Source organism: Homo sapiens, chromosome 16 (genome assembly GCF_000001405.40).
Source record: "Homo sapiens chromosome 16, GRCh38.p14 Primary Assembly".
NCBI lineage: Eukaryota > Metazoa > Chordata > Mammalia > Primates > Hominidae > Homo > Homo sapiens.
In genome coordinates this window covers 57178057-57203922 of record NC_000016.10, presented here as the reverse complement: position 1 = coordinate 57203922, position 25866 = coordinate 57178057, and the positions used below count along the sequence as shown (strand labels likewise).

Genomic DNA, 25866 nt, shown 5'->3' with positions numbered 1-25866 from the left:
AATTCATACAAGTTGTTGCAAAGTGTTTCTGTTATGTAAGCAAGGCTTTGTTTTGGGAAAGGAAAACTGATATCACAAAAGTTGTATTTTCACAATGATCAGTTTGTTGCACATGTCTATTACAAAGTTCAGAATAAGATGCACCAATTTATCTTTGCCTGAAAATACTGACTAAGGACCTTGTGCCAGGTACCACGCTGGACTAGGAGAATAAAGATGAGTAAGGAATAGTTCCTGCCCTCCAGGAATTCATGGATGGCCATTCTCATCCCACAAAGTATGTTTATCATTAAAAACCTAATGAAAGAACCAGCTCTTCAAGAAGCTGGTAAAATCTGGTTAGATTCTGGAAGGAAGTAAAGATTTAGAAATAGGAGACTTACATGGGCTGGTAGCAAAAAGTAAAAAAACAAACAAACAAACAAAACAGGCTGACAGCTGGAGAACAGGCCACATAAGGAATAGACTATGCTAGTGTGTAGTCTCTACACAACATCTGGCTAGTTACAATTAATTCCTCATACCTTGAGCACTGACCAGGAATAATATAAACAAAATTTATAATTCAGTGGAATTAGAAGAGAAATATTACTCCCATTATTTTATTTGTTTATTTATTTACTTATTTTTGAGGAGTCTCGCTCTATCACCCAGGCTGGAGTGCAGTGGTATGATCTTAGCTCACTGCAACCTCCACCTCCTGGGTTCAAGCAATTCTCCTACCTCAGCCTCTCGAGTAACTGGGACTACAGGTGCTGCCACCACACCCAGCCAGTTTTTATATTTTTAGTAGAGACGGGGTTTCACCATGTTGGCCACAAACTCCTGACCTCAGGCTATCTGCCCACCTCGGCCTCCCAAAGTGCTGGGATTACAGGTGTGAGCCACTGTGCCCAGCCTATTTCCATTATTTTAGACAGATTCATGGCAAAATTCTTTTTATTTTCCCAGTTTGATTACTGCTACAGGGAAAACATAGAAGAAAAAGAGAAAAATGGAGACAGAAAGTCTTCAGATATATATATATATATATATATATATATAATCATATGTAATAAAATATATATAAAGAGGGAGGAGGCAAAGGGAAGGGAGAGAAAAGAATGGAATGGGATGGAACAAGACAGGAGAAAGAAAAGGATAAAGGAAATGAGAGGCAACAGACGTTTTCACTATTAAGACAGCAATGGCTGGGCCAAGTGATACCACAGATGTTCTTGGTTCCCCCAAACCACTCGGGCTGTCTTCAAAATTTGGAGGTTGTACTGAAAAGGATGTGACTGAAGTATATAGGTAGGAGTATGATGCAAGGACCAGCTGGAAATAGCTTTTTAAAAGAACACATTCTAAACCAGCAGAGTCGAAGTAACAACATTGCCATTACTGTGGGGATCAGAGTATGATTCGCTTTAGAGGGTAGATAACTAAGAGATTTCAATGCTTAAGAGAATAGAGGAAACAGAAATCAGAAATAGGAATAATTCTTTAAAGGGTCCCTGAAATGAATTTCTACAGATCTTATAAATTATGCTGGTTTCTGAGAAAGATGAAAAAGCAACATTTAAGAAGCTATGCTCTGGGTCCTCTCACAGAAATTTCACTGATAGAGAACAAGAGGCTTGCCGCCATCTTGGAAGTGGCCTGCCACCATCTTGGGAGTTCTAAGAACAAGGACCCCCGCCACCCACCCCCCGTAACAATTGCACTTACTTTATTTGGTGTTCATAGTTTCCCTCTGAGACAAGATTTTTTATTTTTTATTTTTTTAGAGATGGGGTCTTGCTATGTTCCCCAGACTGGTTTTGAACTCCTAGCCTCAAATAATCCTCTCATCTTGGCCTCCCAAGTATTGGGATTACGGGTGTGAGCTATCCTGCTCGGCCCCTCTGAGATAAGCTTTAATATTCCTATTTCAAAATGAGTAAACTGCTCCTCTCCCTCTCCCTCCTCTCCCTCTCCCTCTCTCTCTCTTTCCACGGTCTCCCCCTGATGCCAAGCCAAAGCTGGACTGTACTGCTGCCATCTCGGCTCACTGCAAACTCCCTGCCTGATTCTCCTGCCTCAGCCTGCCGAGTGCCTGCGATTGCAGGCGCGCACCGCCACGCCTGACTGGTTTTCGTATTTTTTTGGTGGAGACGGGGTTTCGCTGTGTTGGCCGGGCTGGTCTCCAGCTCCTAACCGCGAGTGATCCGCCAGCCTTGGCCTCCCGAGGTGCCGGGATGGCAGACGGAGTCGCGTTCACTCAGTGCTCAATGGTGCCCAGGCTGGAGTGCAGTGGCGTGATCTCGGCTCGATACAACCTCCACCTCCCCAGCTGCCTGCCTTGGCCCCCCAAAGTGCCGAGATTGCAGCCTCTGCCCGGCCGCCACCCCGTCTGGGAAGTGAGGAGTGTCTCTGCCTGGCCGCCCATCGTCTGGGATGTGAGGAGCCTCTCTGCCTGGCTGCCCAGTCTGGAAAGTGAGGAGCGTCTCTGCCCGGCCGCCATCCCATCTAGGAAGTGAGGAGCGTCTCTGCCAGGCCGCCCATCGTCTGAGATGTGGGGAGTGCCTCTGCCCTGCCGCCCCGTCTGGGATGTGAGGAGCGTCTCTGCCCGGCCGCCCCGTCTGAGAAGTGAGGAGACCCTCTGCCTGGCAACCGCCCCGTCTGAGAAGTGAGGAGCCCCTCCACCTGGCAGCCACACCGTCTGAGAAGTGAGGAGCCCCTCCGCCCGGCAGCCACACCGTCTGAGAAGTGAGGAGCCCCTCCACCTGGCAGCCACACCGTCTGAGAAGTGAGGAGCCCCTCCGCCCGGCAGCCACTCCGCCTGGGAAGTGAGGAGCGTCTCCGCCCGGCAGCCACCCCGTCTGGGAGGGAGGTGGGGGTCAGCCCCCCGCCCGGCCAGCCGCCCATCCGGGAGGGAGGTGGGGGGGTCAGCCCCCCGCCCGGCCAGCCGCCCGTCCGGGAGGGAGGTGGGGGGGTCAGCCCCCCCCCCCCCCGGCCAGCCGCCCCGTCTGGGAGGTGAGGGGCGCCTCTGCCTGGCCGCCCCTACTGGGAAGTAAGGAGCCCCTCTGCCCGGCCAGCCGCCCCGTCCGGGAGGTGAGGGGCGCCTCTGCCCAGCCAGCCGCCCCGTCCGGGAAGGATGTGGGGGGGGCCAGCCCCCAGCCCGGCCAGCCGCCCCATCCGGGAGGTGAGGGGCGCCTCTGCCCGGCCGCCCCTACTGGGAAGAGAGGAGCCCCTCTGCCCGGCCAGCCGCCCCGTCCGGGAGGGAGGTGGGGGGGTCAGCCCCCCGCCCGGCCAGCCGCCCCGTCCGGGAGGTGAGGGGCGCCTCTGCCCGGCCGCCCCTACTGGGAAGAGAGGAGCCCCTCTGCCCGGCCAGCCGCCCCATCCGGGAGGGAGGCAGGGAGGTCAGCCCCCCGCCCGGCCAGCCACCCCGTCTGGGAGGTGAGGGGCGCCTCTGCCCTGCCGCCCCTACTGGGAAGTGAGGAGCCCCTCTGCCCGGCCACCACCCCGTCTGGGAGATGTACTCAACAGCTCATTGAGAATGGGCTATGATGACAATGGCGGTTTTGTGGAATAGAAAGGGGGGAAAGGTGGGGAAAAGATTGAGAAATCGGATGGTTGCCATGTCTGTGTAGAAAGAGGTAGACATGGGAGACTTTTCATTTTGTTCTGTACTAAGAAAAATTCTTCTGCCTTGGGATCCTGTTGATCTGTGACCTTACCCCCAACCCTGTGCTCTCTGAAACATGTGCTGTGTCCACTCAGGGTTGAATGGATTAAGGGTGGTGCAAGATGTGCTTTGTTAAACAGATGCTTGAAGGCAGCATGCTCGTTAAGAGTCATCACCACTCCCTAATCTCAAGTACCCAGGGACACAAACACTGTGGAAGGCCGCAGGGTCCTCTGCCTAGGAAAACCAGAGACCTTTGTTCACTTATCTGCTGACCTTCCCTCCACTATTGTCCTGTGACCCTGCCAAATCCCCCTCTGCGAGAAACACCCAAGAATGATCAATAAAAAAAAAAAAAAAGAAAAAGAAAAAAAAAAACAAACAAAAAAAACAAAATGAGTAAACTGAGGTTTGGAGTGGGAAAAAAAAAAAAAAGAAATTTCACTGATAAGGCGCTGTTAGAATATTTCAGGTGAAAAGAGGTAAACAATTCAAGGTTTTTGGACAGGTCTGGCTCTGGGCCAGTAGGTCAGATGATTGTGCCACTGGAATATTTACTTGAAATTGTATTTTATTAAAAAAAAATCTTTATCTAGAAACCTTAAAATATACACATTCATTTCTAAAACCTAAATGCTGCACAGGCCTATGGAATGTGAAAGTTCCTCTTCTGCTCTACCTAGCCCATGCCTTTCCCAGAGATAACTAACCTCTTAAAAGCTTCATATGTTTGCCTCCATATCTATTATTATATACTTTCAAACTAGCTTTTTCTTTTTTTTGAGATGGAGTCTCACTCTGTCACCCAGGCTGGAGTGCAATGGTACGATCTTGGCTCACTGCAACCTCTGCCTCCCACGTTCAAGTGATTCTCCTGCCTCAGCCTCCTGAGTAGCTGGGATTACAGGCGCACGCCACCATGCCTGGCTAATTTTGTATTTTTAGTAGAGACAGATCTTCACCATGTTGGTCAGGCTGGTCTCAAACTCTTGACTTCGTGATCCGCCCGCCTCGGCCTACCAAAGTGCTGGGATTACAGGCATCAACCGCCGCGCCCAGCCGCTTTTTCTTTAAATCTAACTAGAATGAAGCCATAAATATTGCTCTATGATTTGCTCTTTTTAATACCACAACCTTCTATATCAGTATATATGTAACTACCTCATGCATTTAAAGGCTGTACAGAAATTCATACTCTGTATTATCATAATTTCTTGACCACTATGCTATAAAAACTTGTGGCTAACCCAACTAACACTTTGGGGATGGTAGAAGGGAGTAGTCCAGGATTAGAGACATGGGACCTCTTCTGGGGAAATGTGTCATCCCCTGGGGAAGTGCTAACTCCAAACTCCTTCCTCACAGTGGTAAGGGTCCTAGGACTATGATCTGTGGTGTCAACATTGCCACAGCAGAGGGGAACTCCACTGGCTGCTCTAATACCCCACAGCCTTTCCATACAATCTGTATGAAGGTGGGATGGGAAACAAGATGCAAACAGTAGATTCAATCCAAATTGGGGAAAACATACCTGAGGAAGGGAGACTAATCACGTACTAAAAATAACTGGCAATGATTTGAGAATGTCAAGTTCCAGAAAACAAAGCCTTGAAGGGGAGAGAACAGGAATCTTGTTGCTCAGTAATTTCAGGGGGAAAAAAAAGCAAAAAGAATAGGGGAGCCTATAAAGTTACAATTTAATGCCAACACATAAAAGTATTTAGGAATAATTAAGAAGAAAACATCTTGGGGGTGCCTGTGAGGAAAGAAGTTAAAAAGAGGTTTGTTGGATCTTAAATTCTTAAACTTTATCATTTTTTCCTAAGGTTTTTATACACTGAATACAGAATAATCTATGCAGATTTCCATTTAGTACAATTTTTTTTTTTTGAGACGGAGTCTTGCTCTGTCGCCCAGGCTGGAGTGCAGTGGCGTGATCTCAGCTCACTGCAAGCTCCGCCTCCCAGGTTCATGCCATTCTCCTGCCTCAGCCTCCCGAGTAGCTGGGACTACAGGCACCCACCACCACGCCCAGCTAATTTTTGTATTTTTAGTAGAGACAGAGTTTCACTGTGTTAGTCAGGATAGTCTCGATCTCCTGACCTCGTGATCCGCCTGCCTCGGCCTCCCAAAATGCTGGGATTACAGGTGTGAGCCACCGTGCCCGGCCCATTTAGTACAATTTTAAGGTGATTGGATGATATCCAATACACGCAGATTTTTTTTTAAAATCTGACTAAATCTGATAGGATGGGCATGGTGGCTCATGCCTGTAATCCCAGCACTTTGGGAGGCTGAGTTGGGAGGATTGCTTGAGCCCAGGAGGCTGAGACCAGCTTGGGTAATGTAGCAAGACCCCATTTCTACAGAAAAAATTAAGAAATTAGCTGGGCATGGTAGTGCACACCTGTGGTCCCAGATACTCAGGAGGTTGAGGTGGGAAGATCACTTGAGCCTGGGAGGTCGAGGCTGCAGTGAGCCCTAATGGTGTCATTGCATTCCAGCCTATGTGACAGAGCTAGACCCTGTCTTTGGGAAAACAAAAACAAAAACAAAAACAAAAAACAAAAACTGACTAAATACGAAGGTAAGAAGACAAAAATTAAGTTTTTTTCCAAATTGAACTAAAGTGTGTTTTGAGTCAGTTTCTTCCAAAAGAGCAATTTTCCTTAAATGACCCAGAAAATGTCAACTATAAAATTTGTCAGAGAAGAAAATGAGGCTTTTAAAAAAACTGTAAATACTTTAAAGCCAGACTTTTTTTTTTTAAATAAAAAGGACCATCTGTGAAAACCAAGTGTAAAGAAGAGGTTAATCAGGTGGAAGAAGCTGGAAGGCATTTTATAAAGGCAAGCCTATGAAACGTACAAGGAAAAATCAAGAGCTGTTACCTCTAAATACTTTCTGAGATGACTACACAGAGTACTCTTGAGGGCTACAGCCACAGACAGGGCACATAAATGAACAAAGTAGATGATCTTTCAGATTTATCTGGCACTGAAAACCTATAGGTTTTAAACTGGAAATGGCTGTCATTCATGGTATTTTTTTTTTACAGAGAAGTGATGGACTGCAGGCAAAAGACTGGGTGAAAGCTAATCAATTACACTTTAGACAATTTTTTGTTTCATCCATTCAAAAAAAGCTTTACGTGGCCCACTTTCCAAGGACCACTGCTTTAAGACAATAAAACTGAGCTTACAGATTTTACACACAATACCAGAAGCCACCATAGCACAGTACACACTCTGTTGTCAGACTAGGTGAAAGTCCCAGCCCTGCAATATTTACTGATACACGTCCTAATTAACCTGACTCTTGACACATGTTAAAAAACAGACATAGTAACAGTTCTTATCTCACAGTACCACTGTGGGGATTAAATGAAATAATGCATGTAATACGCATGGCACAGTGCCTAACATTTAAACTGGATCAAAAAAATGCAAGATGTTACAAAATGAGCACATATCTAATCAGAAATAACTAAATTACCTGGGGGAGAGGGATTCTGGAGTAAAACTTGAGTTAAAAGCACTAAGAAAAGTAAAGAATTTATCTTTTACAGAACTACCCCGTACTGAAGTAATTTTTACTTTTCTATAACCTATACTTACCTATATTTTCAGACAGAGAATCTTGGGAGGGATTGTAGCTTGATCATCCCATAGACGGCATTAGAATCACTTAGAGTACTTATTAAAATGCAAATCCCTGGTCCCACTACGAATAGCCAGAATCAGAATTTCTGGGATGCCGGCCCAAGCTTGTGTTTTCTTAAAAGCTCCCCAAGTGACTCTGATGGCAGCCACATTTGGAAATCACTGTGTATAGAACCTACCACAGAACCTGGCACAGCAGGAAGGACACACCGACTGAACTAGGGGGCAAACTGAAATACTAAAGGGCATTTCTTCTTGGGTCAAAAATGTTAATTTCCTTGTCCAGTAAAATGAACTGAGACTATCTTTGAATGCAGTCTTTTGGAGAGGTCAGCCTAAAAAGCCATTAGAATGGTTATATCCATAAGTGACATGTACAGTACATATCAACACAAAGGAAAAAATGGCTCCATATATTTCCCATGAGGTCCATCTTACGAAGCATCAAAATGAACCTAAATGATACGCTGCTTAAGGATATCATCAAGGGTTAAGAGACTGAACGGAATAGAAAATGAGTAAGATGAGATTATATAAAGGCAACACATCTGTAATACCTATATATATATATATATATTTTTTTTTTTTTTTGAGATGAAGTCTCACTCTGTCGCCAGGCTGGAGTCCAGTGGTGAGATCTCGGCTCACTGCAACCTCTATCTCCTGGGTTCAAGTGATTCGCCTACCTCAGCCTCCCGAGTAGCCAGGACTACAGGTGCGTGCCACCACGCTCAGCTAATTTTTTGTATTTTTAGTAAAGACGGGGTTTCAATATGTTGGCCAGGCTGGTCTTGAACTCCTGACCTCATGATCCACCCACTTCAGCCTCCCAAAGTGCTGGGATTACAGGTGTGAGCCACCGTGCCTGGCCAATACCTATATTCTTTACCTTAACTTCAAAGACAACATTAGCTGGTGAAGTCAACTTTGAGACAAAAAAAAAAAAAGCTAGTCACACAATTTAAATACACATCTGTGACAAACATCAACTGATTTAATAATTTTTATCACTGGATGCCAGTGCTTAGTAGAAGGACTCTTCTTACCACCTAAGTGGCAATACTTTTAATATGATTATACTTTTTTATTTTTATTTTTTCAGACGGAGTTCCACTCTCATTGCCCAGACTGGAGTGTAATGGTGTGATCTTGGCTCACTGCAACCTCCATCTCCCCGGTTCAGGCGATTCTCCTGCCTCGGCCACCCGAATAGCTGGGATTACAGGTGCCTGCCACCACGCCTGGCTCATTTTTGTACATTTAGTAGAGATGGGGTTTCACCATGTTCACCAGGCTGGTCTTGAACTCCTGATCTCAGGTGATCTGCCCACCTCGGCCTCCCAAAGTGCTGGGATTACAGGTGTGAGCCACCATGCCCAGCCTAATATTATACTCTCGATAACAATTTTGCTGCAAGAGCATAATTATGATCGAATATTTCCTTTGCAAATCTATTTCTCTGAAGTGTGGTATTATTAATTTTGATTCTTGCCTTTTTAAAAAAGAAACTAAAGACTATTCTCTCCATTTCTATATTATTTATTAGATTTTTACATTTTACATGTTTTTTCATTTTTCTTGGGGGTAAATGAAGCACCTAACGCTTTATATTTTTTTAAAGCTGCTCTGAGACAAAAAAAAATAATCAAACTTAGGGTCTTGGTAAGCTTGGTGTTAAAGCAGTAAGGTTCTGGTACTCACTGTCTTTATAAAACACAGACCTCTACCATCATAAACAGCTCACCATGGAGACATCTGGCCAACTAGTCTAACCCTCTCTGACAAATGGTCCAGGAATCAATGATTCATCTCTTCAAATATTTGCTTGCATTCAGCCATAGTACAGATCAGTGAGAAAGAACACTTTCTTTTCTTTGAAAATAGGACTGCAGAATTACACTGCCTAGGAAGGAAAAGCTGATTACAAGAGTGACCATAAAGAAGAAAAACCAGACTTTGGGCACTAAATTACTATTGTTATAATCTTCACCTTATCATTCCAAAATAGTGTTAGAGGATGTGACTTTTTTTCCAACCCTCCCCCACAAAGGCTAAGTCAAATAGCATGAATAGCAAAATGTGTAACATCCTGAAAATTTTAATGATGTTCTCTCATTAGAAAATGTTTTCGGATTTTTCCCTAAGTGTGTTAAAGAGATAGCTTCTATCATCACATTTACTCCCCACTCCCAATATTTTATTATGAAATTTTCCAAACATACAGAAAATTGAATTAGAGTTCACTGTAAACTGTGAACTATATACCCACCACCTAGATTCTACTACTAACATTTTACTAAACTTGCTTTATCCCCACCACCTAGACTCTACTACTAACATTTTACTAAACTTGCTTTATCGCTATCCATCTCTTATCCATCATTAATCCATTCAGTTTTTTTTACATATTTCAAAGTAAACTATAGGCATCAGTATACTTTCTCTTAAATAATTCAGCATGCATATCACTAATTAGACTTCAATAAACTTCAAGTTTTTAGGAGTCGAATTTACATACACTGAAATGTGCAAATCTTTTTTTTTTTTAAACGGAATCTCATTCTGTTGCCCAGGATGGAGTGCACTGGTGTGATCCCAGTTTACCACAAACTCTGTCTCCCGGGTTCAAGTAATTCTCCTGCCTCAGCCTCCTGAGTAGCTGGGATTATTGGCACATGCCACCACACCCAGCTAATGTTTGTGTTTTCAGTAGAGATGGGGTTTCACCATGTGGGCTAGGCTGGTCTCAAACTCCTGACCTCAAATGATCTGTCCACCTCGGCCTCCCAAAGTGCTGGGATTACAGGCGTGAGCCACCGCACCCGGCTGAAATGTGCAAATCTTAAGCACAGTAACGTGCTGAGTTTTATCAAATGCATATACCTGTGACTCAAACCCTATCAAGATAGAGAACATTATCTAGAAACATATTTGCTTAAAAAAATACAAAAATTAGCCAGGCACAGTGGCGTGTGCCTGTAATTCCAGCTACTTGGGAGGCTGAGGTGGGAAGATCACTTGAATCCAGAAGGTGGAGGTTGCAGTGAGCCGAGATCATCCCACTACCCTCAAGCCTGGGTGACAGAGCAAGACTCTGTCTCCAAAGAAAAAAAAAAAAAAGCCTGCAGAACACCCCAAAGACCACAATCTTCTTACTGAAGATTGTGTTTAAATAGGGAAAATCTCAAGTCAACAATACTGATTTGGTAATGCATGAAGATTACACTTGCCAGCTGAAACAGAAACTACCTAAAGATGTTTCAACAAGAGTGTTTCTGTCTTTAGACTCTAAAGCCTCTGGTATTTCATTGGGGAAGGTAAGAAGGGGGTAGATTGTGAAATATTTGGTTGGAATTTTACTTTTCCCACAAAAAGAAAGGTTGTCTTGATGAGGCGTTTTTACTTGCCTCCCAGATGTCCAAAGCTATCTAACCGTAGGTTTAGGTCACACAGAGTACCATTAACTCCTGAACTGTAACTGTCAAGAAGTCTGGGAAAAGCACTGGATGATTCTGACATTTCCCTTATGCACTGAGGATCTTTAAGAAAGCACACCTTTGAAAGTAGGTATTTTTTTCTGGTTGAAAGACTATCTGAGCAGGGCATGGTGGCTCACACCTGTAATCCCAACACTCTGGGAGGCCAAGGCAGGCAGACAGCTTGAGCCCAAGAATTTGAGACCAGCCTGGGCAACATGGCGAAACCCTGTTTCTACAAAAAATACACAAATTAGCCAGAGTGGCGGCTTGGACCCTATAGTCCAGCTACTGGGAAGGGCAGTGGGAGTGAGGGGTGGGAGGATCGCCTGAGCTGGGGAGGTCGAGGCTGCAGTAAACCATGATCGCACCACTGCACTTCAGCCTAGGAGACAGAGTGAGACCTTAAAAAAAAAAAAAAAAAAAAGAGTCTCTGGAAAAACCTTCCTCTAAAAAGTTGAGAGCTTTTTTAACCTAGTAGCAGTGCATCTGTGGTCAGAAAGAATTACAGAATATAGTCCTGACCTAAAATGGTACAAAGGAGAAAAGACAAATCCTTTCAGCATTCAAATAATTTACTAAAAAATAAAATTTAGGCCTAGGATAGAGTAAGGAATTTCCGGAAGCAAATAATAGTAAAAAAGGGGAAGTAAATAATCCCTGCCTGAAATCTTAAGGATTGAAAAATTTGCCTTGGACTCCCAAAAAATACTAAGGAAGAATTGAGGTAAATGCTTATGACGGTTGCAGTACAGGGAAGAAAAACAAATGTAATATTCCGTAGTACTTGTGGTTTTCCCCCCAGGAGGCCAAATAATAGGAGATCATGTGTTATTCAAATATACACAAATCTGAAGGAAAAGGATTTTTCTATTACAGAAAACTCTCTGCTCTTAAGAAAAGCAAATAAAATATATAAGCAGCATGAATATCAACATTTTCCTTAATGATGTCTACTTTAAATGATGTCTAAAACACTCATACTGCATACTCATTTGGATACTTATTAGACCCTAATATGTATTCAATAAATATCTTAGGTGAATTTATTCTAAAATCTGTAACATAAAGTCTCTCCAAAATATTTACCATTTTGAAAAACTGAGACAACACCATTCAATAACTATATATCCAATGCTTATATGGCAGGCAGTGAGGAAAGACGGAAAAAGGTCCCTCATGCTCCTGACAAAGGGAGCTGGGGTTAGGGACAAACTTAGCTCCCTACCCAAAGACTACAGATAAAGCATCTACTAGAAGGAGGCCTCTTGTTCCATCAGTTTTCCAGTGTAAAAGGAACTTTGGTAACACTGAAGTACCTCTGTGTGAGCAAGTTTTTAGGTGACTATACAAATCAGCAATAGCAAAAGGGGACTAGAGAATCTATCTTTGCATTGTAACACATTTATGTCTTACATTATAAGCCAAAATATTGTTGGTATAAATATTCCTGCCCACACAATGAAAAGTAAACAAAAAAACCTATAAATTAAATTGATAAAGATGAAGTTAAATAAAAATTCTAATAAAAAAAGAGGAATCATGATGAAAACTGACATTATTTTGAGACAATTCAGATGATGCACCCCAAACTAAGCATACTTCCTGAATACTGCAGGAATCCCCATTCTGCATATGACATGTGAGAAGCTTGTATTGGTGCCAGGTTTCCCAGGACAGACTTCCTGGGCGAAAAAAGTATTAAGAGACCACAGTAAACTCCAATATTGTTCTAGTTTTAGGTTATGAATACCATGTTTTAGTAATCCTTAGTAATTCACTTGGTAGGTTATTAATAAGTAGCCCTTAGGCATACCTAAGTATGAACAACTATGAAGCAATAAAAACTTAAAAAAACAAACAAACAGTGCTATATTTCCCATGTGGAGGGACTGGGCAGAAACCACATCTTGAGAATCACTGCATTAAGGGAACACAAGAGCGAAAACAATTCTTCAGGAGGTAGAGGGGTAAGAAAAAACTAACACTGAACATTAAACTATGAGGTAATATACTTGCTGAGTAAGGTATTTCAAACCTTCTATTTGAGGTACATAGGACCTATGAAATTACGCCTGGAAACTATAATTTCAAGCAACAAGAAAGCTATGTGCAGAGTTCATTCCTTAACAAATTTAAGGAGTACATAAATTCCTTACTATTTCAAATGTATTCTCAGTTTTCAAAAGCTCAGAAACAAAGCGGAATGTTCTCTAAGAGGCCACCACTATTTATAAGATAACTTTTCCTGATTTAACCTTGTATATACCACACATTTATCTAAAGTTACTACTTTTACATATTTAACCAGCAACCACTCCCTTTTGGAATGGACACATTTGTATGTTTTCTCTACTCACAAAGGTTGGCAAGAAAAGGATTTCAAAAGCTGACTTACTGAATGATAAACCAAAGGGAAATATTCACTCCTTTGCACTTCTAAAAGTTGTAAAAGTCCCCTCCAAAAGGCTGTTGCCCAAGTTACGGCATTTACTACTTCGTGATTATTCTGCTTTTCAATTTTCTAATTTGAATATCAGGGAAAAAACTACCCAAATTCAATGATAACTGCCTTGAAAATGCCAAAAGCTTGAAGAGAAGCTAAATCCATAGTTTATTATCCCCAAATAATTCTTTTGAAATAGATTGCTGGTTCCACTGTGTTTCCCATTTGTGGTGACTACTGACTTTCCACTTATTTTGCAATCCTGAGACTATCACACCCCACTTTACAAGTATCCTACTAAAAAATACAGAACATTTCCTATTTATTTATTTGAGACAGGGTGTTGCTCTGTCACCCAGGCTGGAATGCAGTGGCTCACTGCATCTTCAACCTCCCAGGCTCAAGAGATTCTACCACCTCAGCCTCCCAAGTAGCTGGGACTATCTGCATGTGCCACCACGCTGGGCTAATTTTTGTATTTTTTTGTAGAGATGGGGTTTTGCCATGTTGCCCAGGCTGGTCTTGAACTCCTGGGCTCAAGTGATCCTCCCGCCTTGGCCGCCCAAAGTGTTGTGATTATAGGTGTGAGCCACCATGCCCAGCCATAACTTCCAATCTTAAGTAGTGTAATAGTGATTACTACCTTCAAGAATTCCTAACATTTTCTCCAAACTATATAGAGTGTGAAAGAAAGCTGTATTTAAAAAGATGCAAAGGGATTTCCCACTTCATTAGAACAAATTACTTCATTGTTAAGGAAAGCATATACAATTCTCAACAGACTAAATTAAGCTCACGAGGCCAGGCATGGTGGCTCACACCTGTAATCCTAGCACCTTGGGAGGCCAAGGTGGGTGGATGGCTTGTGCCCAGGAGTTTGAGACCAGCCTGGGCAACATGGCGTAACCCTGTCTTAAAAAAAGTGCAAAAATTGGCCAGGTGTGGTGGCTCGCACCTGTAGTCCCAGTTACTTGGGAGGCTGATGTGGGAGGATCACCTGAGCCTGGGAGGTAGAGGCTTCTGTGAGCCGTGATTGCACCACTGCACTCTAGCCTGAGAGACAGCATGAGACCCTGTCTCAAAAAAAAAAAAAAAAGAAAAGAAAAGAAAAAGAAAAAACAGAAAAAAAGAAATACAGAATAATTGTTTGTTAAACTCTTGACAAAACACACTTTTTTTTTTTTTAGCCTCCAGGCCCCACAGTGCTACATAACTCAGATTTGTTGTTTTTACCTGATTCACTACAGATTAACACACTATTATACAAAATGCTAAGTTTTTATTTCCCTTTGATACTTACTAAATGAAAAGTTATTTTGCTGACAAAAGCAGAAGCCCACATAGAGTATGCTGGTATACCTCCTATAATCAATAACTTGAAAATAATCACTGAGGGCCAGGCACAGTAGCTCATGCCTGTAATCCCAGCACTTTGGGAGGCCAAGGTGGGCAGATCACTTTGAGCTCAGGAGTTCAAGACCAGCCTGACCAACACGGTGAAACTCCCTCTCTACTAAAAATACAAAAATTAGCCAGGCACGGGTGGTGCTTGCCTGTAATCCCAGTTACTTGGGAGGCTGAGGCAGAAGAATTGCTTGAACCCGGGAGGCAGAGGTTGCAGTGAGCTGAGATCGCGCCATTGCACTCCAGCCTGAGGAACAAGAGGGAATCTCGGTCTCAAAAAAAAAAAAAAAAAAAAGTCACTGAGTACAGAAAAAAGCATAACATAGAAAGACATTAAATAGTAGGTTAGGGCAACATGCATCCTGGGAGATCAAATAACTCACAATCACCAGTTATAGTTTTTAAAAAGATCCACAGAATATAGGATCACAAAAACAGAAAATTCAGAGCAGTACAAAAATTACTTCGAAAGGCAGACACAGTGGCTCACGCCTGTAATCCCGGCACTTTGGGAGGCCGAGGCAGGCGGATTACAGGACGTCGGGAGTTCGACACCAGCCTGACCAACACGGAGAAACCTCGTCTCTACTAAAAATACAAAATTAGCTGGGCGTGGTGGTACATGCCTGTAATCCCAGCTACTCCGGAGGCTGAGGCAGGAGAATCGCTTGAACCCAGGAGGCGGAGGTTGCAGTGAGCCGAGATAGCGCCACTGCACTCCAGCCTGGGCAACAAGAACGAAACTCCGTCTCAAAAAACAAACAAACAAAAAAACCAAAAACACAACTAAATTACTTCGGAAAAAATCCCATATAAATTGCCCGATATTTGGAAAACCATCTCTAACAAGTACGACGAACCAAACACTAGTAAAATGTCATACAGGGACACAAGTCTCTTACAATCTCATAGAGGGATCTACAAAGCAAGATACCATCCCAGGAAATGATTGCCCGATATTTGGAAAACCATCTCTAACAAGTACGACGAACCAAACACTAGTAAAATGTCATACAGGGACACAAGTCTCTTACAATCTCATAGAGGGATCTACAAAGCAAGATACCATCCCAGGAAATGCAAAGTCCACATAAGGGGAAAAATAAAGAGAACCACTGTGCAAGAGAAATTTAAAAGCAACTTCCAACATGCCTCATAATCTATAGTCTAGGGCTACCACAACAACGCATAGTATTCGTGGAGGAAAAAAGGCAGTCTTTACAAATCACAACTGAGGGAGAAAGTATGATATTCACTGCCTGTAGACATCCAAAAGCCATGCATATATATATGCAAAAGGGGGAGGAGGTTTACAATGTTGAGATCAAATTACTTAGAGGAAAATTTCAGCTGTTAGGGGAAAATAATTCCTGAAGGAAAAGATATTACAGTGGTAACTCCTGCCAGCACCATAAGAAGTTCAAAGTAAATGAAAACTCTGAGAGCAAAAGCTGGAAATCCCACCATCCCCATCTAAGCAGGGTTTGAAACCATGGGTTTAGATCTTAATATGACCTAAGAAGCTGTGAACCTTGAAGCTTTCAGTACAATATGGCTCCCAGCACTCCGCAGGTGACAGACAACGACTGTATTAATCCCACCCCTTACCTCTACATACTACTTTACATTTTAGAAAGTGCCTTCACTTTTATTCCTCAACAGCAACCCGTTTGGTGGTAGAATCACACTAACTTACGTTCACGCAGCTTGTAATTTGTACTTTCACATACTGCGCTGGTTATTTTACAGTAGAGACTTAAGGAGGTTAAGTCACTCCACTAAGCAAGAACAGATGGTAGGTAAAGGGCCTGGAAAACTGCGGGATTCTACTCAGTCGATAACAGACACTTCTAACCCTTCAAAGTTCAAAGTACAACACTCCAGGGGGAGCAACCTCTCTCAGAGAACTATACAAGACAGGACCTCGGAGTCTCAGCCGACCGCCTCGGTCTCAGTCGGTTTCCCTCCCCAAAGACGGGGAAAGTGAGGCAGCAGGAGAGACAAATGCCTAATTTGGACTCACGCAAGGGGTGTTGGTGGGATAGACTCTCCCCACCCCACTCGGGCAATAAGCCCGGAAGCAGTTGGATCCTGTGTCTGGGACACCTGGTCGATCTACAGAGAGAGGGAATAATTCCCGTTTCCCTTTCACTACTCCCCACTCTGGCTTTCCTGTGGATGGAGGTGTCTTCTTCCCATCACCGCCCAGAAATCCCCTCTCCCCAAGGTCCTTACCCAATTTTCAGCTCCGGCTTCCGTAGTAGGACATTCCGCTAGTTCTAGCTCCTGCTTCCTAGCCCCATTCTCTCTCTATCCCAAGGCGTTTCTAAATCTCCCCGGGGAGGTATGCCTCATCCGTGCCACCTAGACCGTAAACTCCACAAAAAGAACCCTCCTAAAGCGTCCCTTCATCTACCCTTTCTATCCCGGGCACCCCTGAGTAGGTCAGGACCCCATCGGTACCAGGAGCCACCCCAGGAGATAGATAGCTGCCTCTCACCTGGGCCCTGTTAGCCGCAGCCTCCTCAGAAGGGCGACCCCCAAGAACCTCTTCTGGTGAGGACCCCCGAAAGAGGGAACACCCTCTTCTAGGAACCTCTTCAGATCCCTCAAGCGCGGGCCTCGGTGGAAAACCTCTCGGCTGTTTCTCAGGTTCTGACCAACGCCACCTCTCTCCCGGGCCCTTTCCAGAGCCTACCCCGGCCCCAGTCCGGTCCGCCCGCCCCAGGCTCGAGCGGCTGTTCCCCTCCCTCACAGACGTCCCCAACCCTCAGACTCCCTCCCGTTCCGCGTGCCCAGGGCTCAGAGCAGCGCGGTCGGGCTGTGGCACTGACTTTCTCTACCTCCCGGGCCCACCGGAGGGAGGGGGCGGCGGCGGCGGCGCGACTCCTTTGTGACAGGTCCGAGAGAACGGCAAAGATGGACGCGAGGCCACGGCGCTGCCATTACGCGCAGAGCCCACCCCCGCTTCGTACCGCCCCAGCCCTCCCTCAGTCCCCTAGGAAACGCCCCTTCCTCGGTGGCAAGCCCTCTCCTTGACAGCCAATCACCTTTCAAAAATCGTGTCACGTGATCAGCGGGACCGGCCCGCCCTCCAGGCGCAGACTGGCCAGTCCTCATCCTGAGGCGTGAATGGCCCAATCAAGTCTCTCCGGCTCGTTTTCAGGGTACCGGATTTCCATCGGGCTCCCGGGGAGGAAGAGCTCCGCGGATTGGGTTACGTCGCCGGAAGTGGGGCGGGACTCTATTGTGGCGGTGAGGAACAGGAAGCCCTGAAGGGTCAAAAGAAATACAAAAGCAAAGGCTATTTTCTTTTTTTTTTTCTTTCTTTCATTCATTCCTTCCTCTGTTTCTTTCTTTCTTCCTTTCATTTTTTTTTCTTTTTTAAGAGCGAGCGGCTCTGCGGTGGCGGTTTGGGGTGGGCGCCGCCGAGGTGAGGTCGTCTCGCCTCCCGCGCGCCGGTAGGTGAGTGCGGCCTCGGTCCTGGCCTGGCGGCGACACCTGGGTTCCAGCTTCCTTACGGAAGAGATGAGCTGCGGCTGCTGTTAGGGTTAGGGCCAGGCCTGTTCTCAGTCCGCGCACCCGCTCCTTGTCCGGAGTAGCCGAAGCCTGGGGCTTGCGGGCCCAGCCTGAGGGGAGCTGAGGGTGCCCGCGGGAAGGCATCTGGGTCGCGGCGAGGACCCTTTCAGGCGGGCCCAACACTGCCGGGCGTTTAATGGGGTTTCCCCAATTTTCTGCTAGGTAGGGCCACCCAGGTTTCAAGTGAGTAGCAGGCTCCGTTCCAGAGGTCTTGGAACAGGTCCAGGTTACTCACTCGGATGTGCGGCGTCTGGTTGGAAATGGTTGAATCCCAGAATGGCAGTGCAGGATGGGAAGCACATTTATTGTGTGCCATGTACCAGTTGCTGTGCCAAGCGAATTTTCTATTACGGAAAACAAGCCAGCTGGCCCGTTTTGCAGAAAACTTAAGAAACAAAGAGAGTTGAAGCGTCATGCTTGAGAGTTGGTGGTCCTTGTGACTGTCAGTCCACACAGAGGAAAGGGGGAGACCTGTTTGTTCGTAGTCGTGGTTCTTTAATGTTAGTGGAAAACAAGATCTCCTGGGGCCCTTTTAAAATGCAGTTTCTCAGACTCCCGCACGCTCGGGTAGCCCGACTGGTTAGTTCAGGAGTGGGACCCAAGAAGCCAGATGCGAGCCTGGTGATCGGAATTCCCGATGACCTCTTGCCTACCACCTGTGACATAAGATTTGTCGATTCATCAGTTATTTGGTGTATTCATGTGTCCACAGGGACACCATAAAATGGAAGGCACCCTTCTGAAATATTTGAAGGGAATCAGTGGGTAGACTCCTTTTTGATACAAAGTATTGAGCCGACAGCAGCTTTTACAGTCTTTTAGTTAGATGACCTGCGAACAATTTGTAAGGATCTGAAAGTAGAGGCTGCCCGATTATCTTTCTCAACTGAAGTCTTCATGTCCTTACCCTGTGGGGAAGTGCTTCATGATATAAGAAAGGAATAATTGTGTCAAAACCATTTAGTTGATTATCAGTCTTCACTTTCATCTTCCAAGAATGGTGATGCTTGGTTAGAATCAAGCTGCTGCTTTAGCTATTGAAAACCACGTATGTGGTAAATCAAGTAACAAGTGCGATGTACGTACAGGGTCAGTCATAGTGTAATTATGCCTTTATGGCAGCTAAATTAAGCATTTTCAACGTGTTCACCATTAGTCACCTTTTGAACATACTTTGTCTTCATTCTTAAATATTATGTTTCACTCTTTACTATAGAATATGTTGTTAAGATTGTTTTGTCTAAAATCAAGTATCGACAAGTTTAAAAAAAAGATTGTTTTGTGTTTGGTTTTCTGTATTTCCACTATGCTCTATGGAACTATGGGTTTGTTTTTGTTCAATTTGTTTGGTATTTATTAGACTTCTTGAATCTGTGGATTAGTGTCTTTCATTAATTCTGTAAAATTCTCAGCCATTTTATATGCATATATTGCTTCTTCCCATTGTTTCTCTTTTTTTTTTTATCGATTTAACTAAACCTTTTCACTCTTTTCTCTATGTCTTTTACTCTGTTCTTTCGTAGTACATTCTGGATAATTTATTCTCAAGTTATTTCCATTGTTATTAAACTCGGCCTCTGAAATCTTAAATCATATATTGCAATTTTTAGTTTCTGAAGTTCTGTTTGGTTTGTGACACTTTTACAGTTTTTTATTTCTTACTATTTTGAGGCTTAATTTTATTTCTTTAAACATGGAAAGTATAGTTGTTTTTATAATCTCTATGTTTAATTCCACTGTCTGAATTCCCTTTGGGGGAGTCTGTTTCTGTTGTCCATTATTCCTGCTGTTTTACTTCCCAGTTCACCTTTACTTTGAAGCTGTAGTTCTTTTGGGCACAAGATTAAGATGGAGAGGGAGGTAGTTGTCAGACTCCACTCCCTGGATGGGCTCCTGGCTTGAACTTGTTTCTGTTATCTCATAAAGGCACTGAAACTTTAGCTTTTAGGTCAGAGAAGTCCTCAGGATGAAATCCATTTTGAATATTGGGCTTAATTTCTGGTTTTCACCTTCTAGATTGTGTCCAAATTCTTTACTATCTTGTTAGCTTTTCTATTTAAGAATTAATATTTTTGGCTGGGCGTGGTAGCTTACACTTGTAATCCCAGCACTTTGGTAGGTCGAGGTGGGCAGATCACTTGAGGTCAGGAGTTTGAGACCAGCCTGGCCAACATGGTGAAACCCTGTCTCTACTAAAAATACAAAAATTAGCCAGTCATGGTGGCGGGCACCTGCAATCCCAGCTATTCGGGAGGCAGAGGTAGGAGAATCGCTTGAACCTGGGAGGTGGAGGTTGCAATGAGCTGAGATCATGCCACTGCACTCTAGTCTGTGTGACAGAGCGAGACCCTATCTCAAAAAAAAAATTATTTTTGACAAATTTCCAGCATATTTAGTGCAGAGGTGGAGAATTGGTTTCAATTACCTAGCCCACTATTTCAAGAAATGAAAATCCCCCTGTATTCTGAAATTTGGAATGTGAAATTTGTGTGATTTCCAAGTTAAAGATGGTTATTCTTCATATACCTAAAATTTCCACCACTTTTCACTGTGCATCGTCACAGCCATTATGAAAATTAAGCTTCCCCAATGCTTATTCTAGTCTTCCTTTCTGAACTGCTTAGTGCCTCTTATGGCCTGTAACCTAGTTTTACTTTTCCTTAAATTGCTGTGTGCCAACCTTATGTCTTTTACTGAATGAGTGTAAGTTCCTCAGTTGCCTGTTTAGTACATAGCATTGTATCTTGCACATAATAGGTTCTCGGTAAATATTTGCTTCAAAAATCTTTTTTCTTTGAGATGGAGTCTCGCCCACTTCGCGCAGGCTGGAGTGCAGTGGCGCGATCTCGGCTCACTACAACCTCCGCCTCCCGGGTTCAAGCAACTCTCCTTCCTCAGCCTCCCGAGTAGCTGGGATTACAGGCATGTGCTACTACGCCTGGCTAATTTTCATATTTTTAGTAGAGACGGAGTTTCACCATGTTGGTCAGGCTGGTCTCGAACTTCTGACCTCAGGTGATCCACCTGCCTCAGTCTCCCAGAGTGCTAGGGTTACAGGCATGAGCCACTGCGCCAAAAAAAAAAAAAAAAAAAATCTTAGTTGGCCTTGTCTGGTTATTGTAATGCAAAGTTTTTTTTTTTTTTTTTTTTTTTTTAAGGGAAATGGGTATCTCCTTATGTTGCCCGGGCTGGCCTTGAACTCCTAGGCTCAAGCAGTCCTCCAGTCTCAGCCTCCTGAGTAACTGGGACTGCGTTTTTTTGTTTTATTTTGTTTTTAATTTGGTCTTGAAGTGGAGTTATATAGGGTGGGGGGAGGGAGGATGGAGTATGACTTGAGGTGTGGGTTAGGTTCTGAAGCGAGCCTAGATGACAAAATAGCTTACAAGCAAAGCTACCCTTGAAATCTCAGGGAGGCAGCATGTTAATTGTAGGAATACCAGTGTTGCAGAACTCTGACATGGCCAGTGTGATATTGTAAAATACATATTTGGCCTTCATCCCTGTCTCCTGTGGCATATGACTCCTATAATCCTTGAAATCTCCAAAATGATTAGTGTCTTTTTATATGCTAAGGAGCTGACTGATGGCTGGCAGCCCCTAAGTAACTTTAGCATGGGGGCTGGTCACTTGAAAGACCCAGGCAGGATTAGAGGGTTGGGACCTTCAACCAATGTCCAACCTCTGGGGAGAGGAGAAGGCAGACGAGCTGATGACCACCAGCGTCACTGGTTTAATTAGTCATGTCTAAGTAATGAAGCTTCCATAAAAATCCAAAAGACTGGGATTGGGGAGCTTCTGGATAGGTGGACATGAGAGGTTCCTGGATGATGGTGCCCCAGAGAGTGCATGGAAGCTCTGTGCCCTTCCCACATGCCTTGCCCTATGCATTGCTTCATCTGTATCCTTTGTAATATGCTTTTATAATAAACCAGTATATGTAAGTAAAGTGTTCCTCTAAGTTCCTCTAAGTTCTGTGAATTGGTCTAGCAAATTAATAGAACCTAAGGAGGGGGTCATGGGAACCCTGATTAATAGCCAGTTGGTTAGAACTACAGGTAAAACAACCTGATTCTTGTGGTTGGTATCTAAAATGGAGGCTAGTCTTGTGGGACTCACCCCTCAACCTATGGGATCTGACGCGGTCTCCATCCAGGTAGGTAGTGTCAGAATTGAACTGAATTAGAGGACACCCAGCTGGTTGGTGTCTGCTACAGAATTGGTTGGTTGCTTGGTGTGTGGGGACATATCCCTCACAGAATTATACTGTGTTGATTGTTGAGTGAGAGAATAGCAAAAATGCTTTGGTTTGGTTTGGGTTTTTTTTTTCTCTATATCCTCAGGCAAGTTTTATTTCGGCTTTGGAAAAAACTGCTGTTTTTCTTCCTGTGAGCCCCAGATGAAGTTGTTGGTTTGTATTTAGGAGTCACAATATGTAAAAAATACAATGAATACAATCATTCATGCATAGTGAGGGAAGTATTTATATTCAGAGAGGTGCATGTGAATGAGGATCAGCTAAGGGAACCGATATTTAAATTAGTTATCTTTCTTCTAGTGTGTATAGGTGAATTCAAGATAAATGCACATTTGAGACCCTGCCCTTGTGCTATGGAAAGATAAATAAATCAATACTTTTTTTTTAACTTCTTTTTTTTCCCCCTCGCCAGGCAAGGTCGGTCTTGTGCTGTTGCCCAGGCTGTAGTGCAATGGCCCTCATAGCTCACTGTAGCCTGGAACTCCTTGGCTGAAGCCTTCCTCCCACTTCAGCCTCCTAAGTAGTGCACCATCACACCTGGCTAATTTTTAAATATTTTTGTAGAGAGAGAGTCTCACTGTGTTGCCCAGGCTGGTCTTAAATTCCTGGCCTTAAGTGATGCTCCCAGCTTGGCCTCCCACAGCTTTGGGACTGCAGGCATGAGCCACTGTGCCTAGCCTGTTTGTCTGTTTGTTTGTTTGTTTGTTTTTAATAGAGTTGGGGTCTCACCATCTTGCCCAGGCAGGTCTTGAACTCCTGGGCTCAAACAATCCTGCCTTGGCCTCCCAAAGTGCTCAGATTGCAGGTGTGAGCTAGTGCACCAGGCCTTAATTTCTTTTCTTTTTTTTTTTTCTTTTTCTGAGACGGAGTCTTGCTCTATTGCCCAGGCTGGAGTGCAGCGGCGTGAAATCTCAGTTCACTGCAACCTTCGCCTCCTGGGTTCAAGCGATTCTCCTGCCTCAGCCTCCCAGGTAGCTGGCATTACAGGCACATGTCACCACAGCCAGCTAATTTTTGTATTTTTAGTAGAAATGGGGTTTCACCCTGTTGGCCAGGCTGGTCTTGAACTCCTGACCTCAAGCGATCCTCCTGCCTCAGCCTCCCAAAGTGCTAGGATTACAGGTGTGAGCCACCATGCCTGGCTGAATTTCTTATTGTATGTGTTTCATAGATGCCTGAAAGATTATTGCAAAGCTGAATTTTTTATTGTATGTGTTTCATAGATGCCTGAAAGGTTATTGCAAATTGCTCCTTATGATAAACATTTAAAATATGGATTAAATTTCTTTTTCTGTGGTTTAGTTTTTAGATTCTTTTAGTCTCCTTTGCTACCGGAATATGTTAATTAAGCTTTGGTGTTAGAAGATTGACTTCACTTTGCCTAGTAATAAATACTAACAGCGGGCTCTCTGTTAGTAGTTGTTGTTCTCTAAATAAATTTTATGATATAGGAAAAGTCAGCTAAATTTTTAAAAATCTAAATAACTGTATCTTGGTAGAAGTGCCTTCTGGCCAGAAATAAGTCTTTATTTGAAATATAGATGAGTTAGCCAGATGGCAAATTCCTCTTAGTTGCTGTCCTGCATTTTGAAGTACAGTGTGACTTGAACATCAGAGTAAAAAATGTTGGAAAGCAATAATCTATATTTACTCACAAAAGGAAATGGATTGACCTATTGCTTTTGCTACTGAAAGTGAAGCCTTAAAACAACAGAACACAGAAACCTGATTCTGGTGTGTTTTAACATGTACAATCTAATTAATTTTAGAATTAGAAGGATATGGTGGCCAGTGATGTAAACACTCAAGTAGTTTGCCATCACATAATTCAATTCCATAGGAAACCAGATCTCATTACTTTGTGTCATGGCACTAGCTAAATGGAGTCATTTTTCAAGTTAGGAATAGCAATTATTTGGGGAGCAACAATGTAAGTTTTGTATTTTAAAACATGTGTAGTGTGCTATGTAAGAACTGAGCCCATTTTGTCCCACCACCCTGGAAATTAAATGGGACGGTCTCCAATGTAAACCCAGTAGTTCAGTGTTACCAGTTACTTTGGCTTGAAATATAAGAACTTTGTTTTCTTGACGGTCAGGCAGATTTGAAAACCACGTTCTTTATTTGTGCCAATTTGGACTCTAAGTTTGGTGGACAAAGTGAATTTTGAAATGGTTTTAGTTTTCCATGAATTCCCTATTTGAAGAAATTGAATAAATCCTTTAAAAAATAATGTAATGTTTAGTTTGATAATTAAACTTGAGTCACTTTGGAAAACGTGAGTAAAGGAAAGCTGACAGCATTTGTTTACTCTTTCTAAAGTGGAACACAGTAAGGACAAAGTAAGCATTCCTAATGTAAGTCCTCTGCATTCCTACAGGGCTCTTCACAGTTAGAGCCCGTATCCCTGATATCCCTGGGCTGTTTGTCTTTTGATTTGTTTTTAATTACCCTAGCAAACAAAAGGGAAAAAGAAGAGACTTGTGAAAATTTACCTAGACAATAGGAATTAGAAGTCAACACAATCTAATTTTCTAGCTTCTTTGTCTACTTCCAGCAGGTCAGTAAGTTACAGGTACTTATCACCTCTTTCTTGCAGAATAAACAGCCATTGGACTCTTCAAACAAAAACGCTGTCTCCATCAAGTACTGCTTTCGCAGGATAAGTGACCATTTTTAATCAGTTGAAATTAACGGAAAGTAGCAGTTATTTTTGAAAGATGACATCAATTATATAATATAGTAAAGAGATTTAATTTTTAGTCCTTTGTTTCTTACTGCACAAATTGTATGGCGTTTGAATAGAATTCCCATGATACTGACACTTCAGCAAATACTTGCTTGATGGCTACCAATCTCTATAACTTACATTGCACAGTACCTAGGAATATTCATGTGAGTTCATTCCTCCCTGCTCAGATTCTTCAGCTCCTCGTGGTTGGTTTATTCAGTAAGTATTTGAATACCTAATATATGCCAGACACTGTGCTAATAATAATAAGCACTGTGGAGACAAAGAGCTGTTGGAACAGTCACAGATGATAAAACACAAAGAATAAGGGCTGTAGTAGAGTTATGAATGATCATAGCAGGAACACAAAGGAAGGAAATACATATTAACTACTCTAGGAGGTCTTGGAAAGCTTCATAAAGGAGATGGTCTTTAGTCTGATTCTGGGCGGTTGGAGCAGCAGTTTGCATCGGGTGAAAAGAAAGCAAGGGCATTCCTGGCAGAGGGAACAGCCTGAGCAAAGCCATGCAGAGAATGAAGACCTACAGAAGAAAATGCTAATTTGAAAAAAGATGCATAAAGCAGTCTATGTTTTAGTCTAGTCTTTTTAAACTTACAGAAATTTATTACTATGTGTGTCCATCTAACTTGGCTTATTTTCTTT

The 25866-nt window shown here is 43.5% G+C and overlaps 2 protein-coding genes across 56 annotated transcripts in view, besides 4 other annotated features; one reads left to right on the top strand and one right to left on the bottom strand.

Moving 5' to 3' along the window:
* Positions 1-17771, bottom strand: part of RSPRY1 (ring finger and SPRY domain containing 1) — a 54318-nt gene extending 36547 nt beyond the window's left edge. For 3 of the 16 annotated variants that reach the window (XM_011523428.3, XM_005256220.3, NM_001305182.2), the window contains exon 1: positions 17138-17594. The gene's annotated coding sequence lies outside the window, so the exon portion shown is untranslated. Of the gene's footprint in view, positions 1-1710; positions 1736-7266; positions 7865-16872; positions 17595-17687 lie in introns of those variants that run through there. The other 13 variants (XM_047434858.1, XM_011523430.2, NM_001305164.2 and 10 more) reach the window with 8 other exon arrangements.
* Positions 16254-16898: an enhancer, noted in NCBI's record as "NANOG-H3K27ac hESC enhancer chr16:57220937-57221581 (GRCh37/hg19 assembly coordinates)". NCBI's record gives its function as "activates a minimal SCP1, AML or CMV promoter by ChIP-STARR-seq in naive H9 embryonic stem cells {active_cell/tissue: H9 hESC(naive)}" and the evidence as "EXISTENCE:reporter gene assay evidence [ECO:0000049][PMID:30033119]".
* Positions 17300-17509: a silencer, noted in NCBI's record as "silent region_7524". NCBI's record gives its function as "represses an Ori minimal core promoter by ATAC-STARR-seq in GM12878 lymphoblastoid cells {active_cell/tissue: GM12878}" and the evidence as "EXISTENCE:reporter gene assay evidence [ECO:0000049][PMID:35858748]".
* Positions 17807-25866, top strand: part of PSME3IP1 (proteasome activator subunit 3 interacting protein 1) — a 33651-nt gene continuing 25591 nt past the window's right edge. For 5 of the 40 annotated variants that reach the window (NM_001354080.1, NM_001354079.1, NM_001354087.1 and 2 more), the window contains exons 1-2: positions 17807-17892; positions 25071-25421. Coding sequence is in view for 1 of the 40 variants with exons in the window: in NM_001354098.2 (NP_001341027.1) it covers positions 22307-22369 (63 nt within the window). In the remaining 39 variants the exon portion in view is untranslated. Of the gene's footprint in view, positions 20477-21372; positions 22370-25070; positions 25422-25866 lie in introns of those variants that run through there. The other 35 variants (NM_001354088.2, NM_001354092.2, NM_001354096.2 and 32 more) reach the window with 18 other exon arrangements.
* Positions 18210-18259: an enhancer, noted in NCBI's record as "active region_10884". NCBI's record gives its function as "activates an Ori minimal core promoter by ATAC-STARR-seq in GM12878 lymphoblastoid cells {active_cell/tissue: GM12878}" and the evidence as "EXISTENCE:reporter gene assay evidence [ECO:0000049][PMID:35858748]".
* Positions 24722-25303: an enhancer, noted in NCBI's record as "NANOG hESC enhancer chr16:57212532-57213113 (GRCh37/hg19 assembly coordinates)". NCBI's record gives its function as "activates a minimal SCP1, AML or CMV promoter by ChIP-STARR-seq in naive H9 embryonic stem cells {active_cell/tissue: H9 hESC(naive)}" and the evidence as "EXISTENCE:reporter gene assay evidence [ECO:0000049][PMID:30033119]".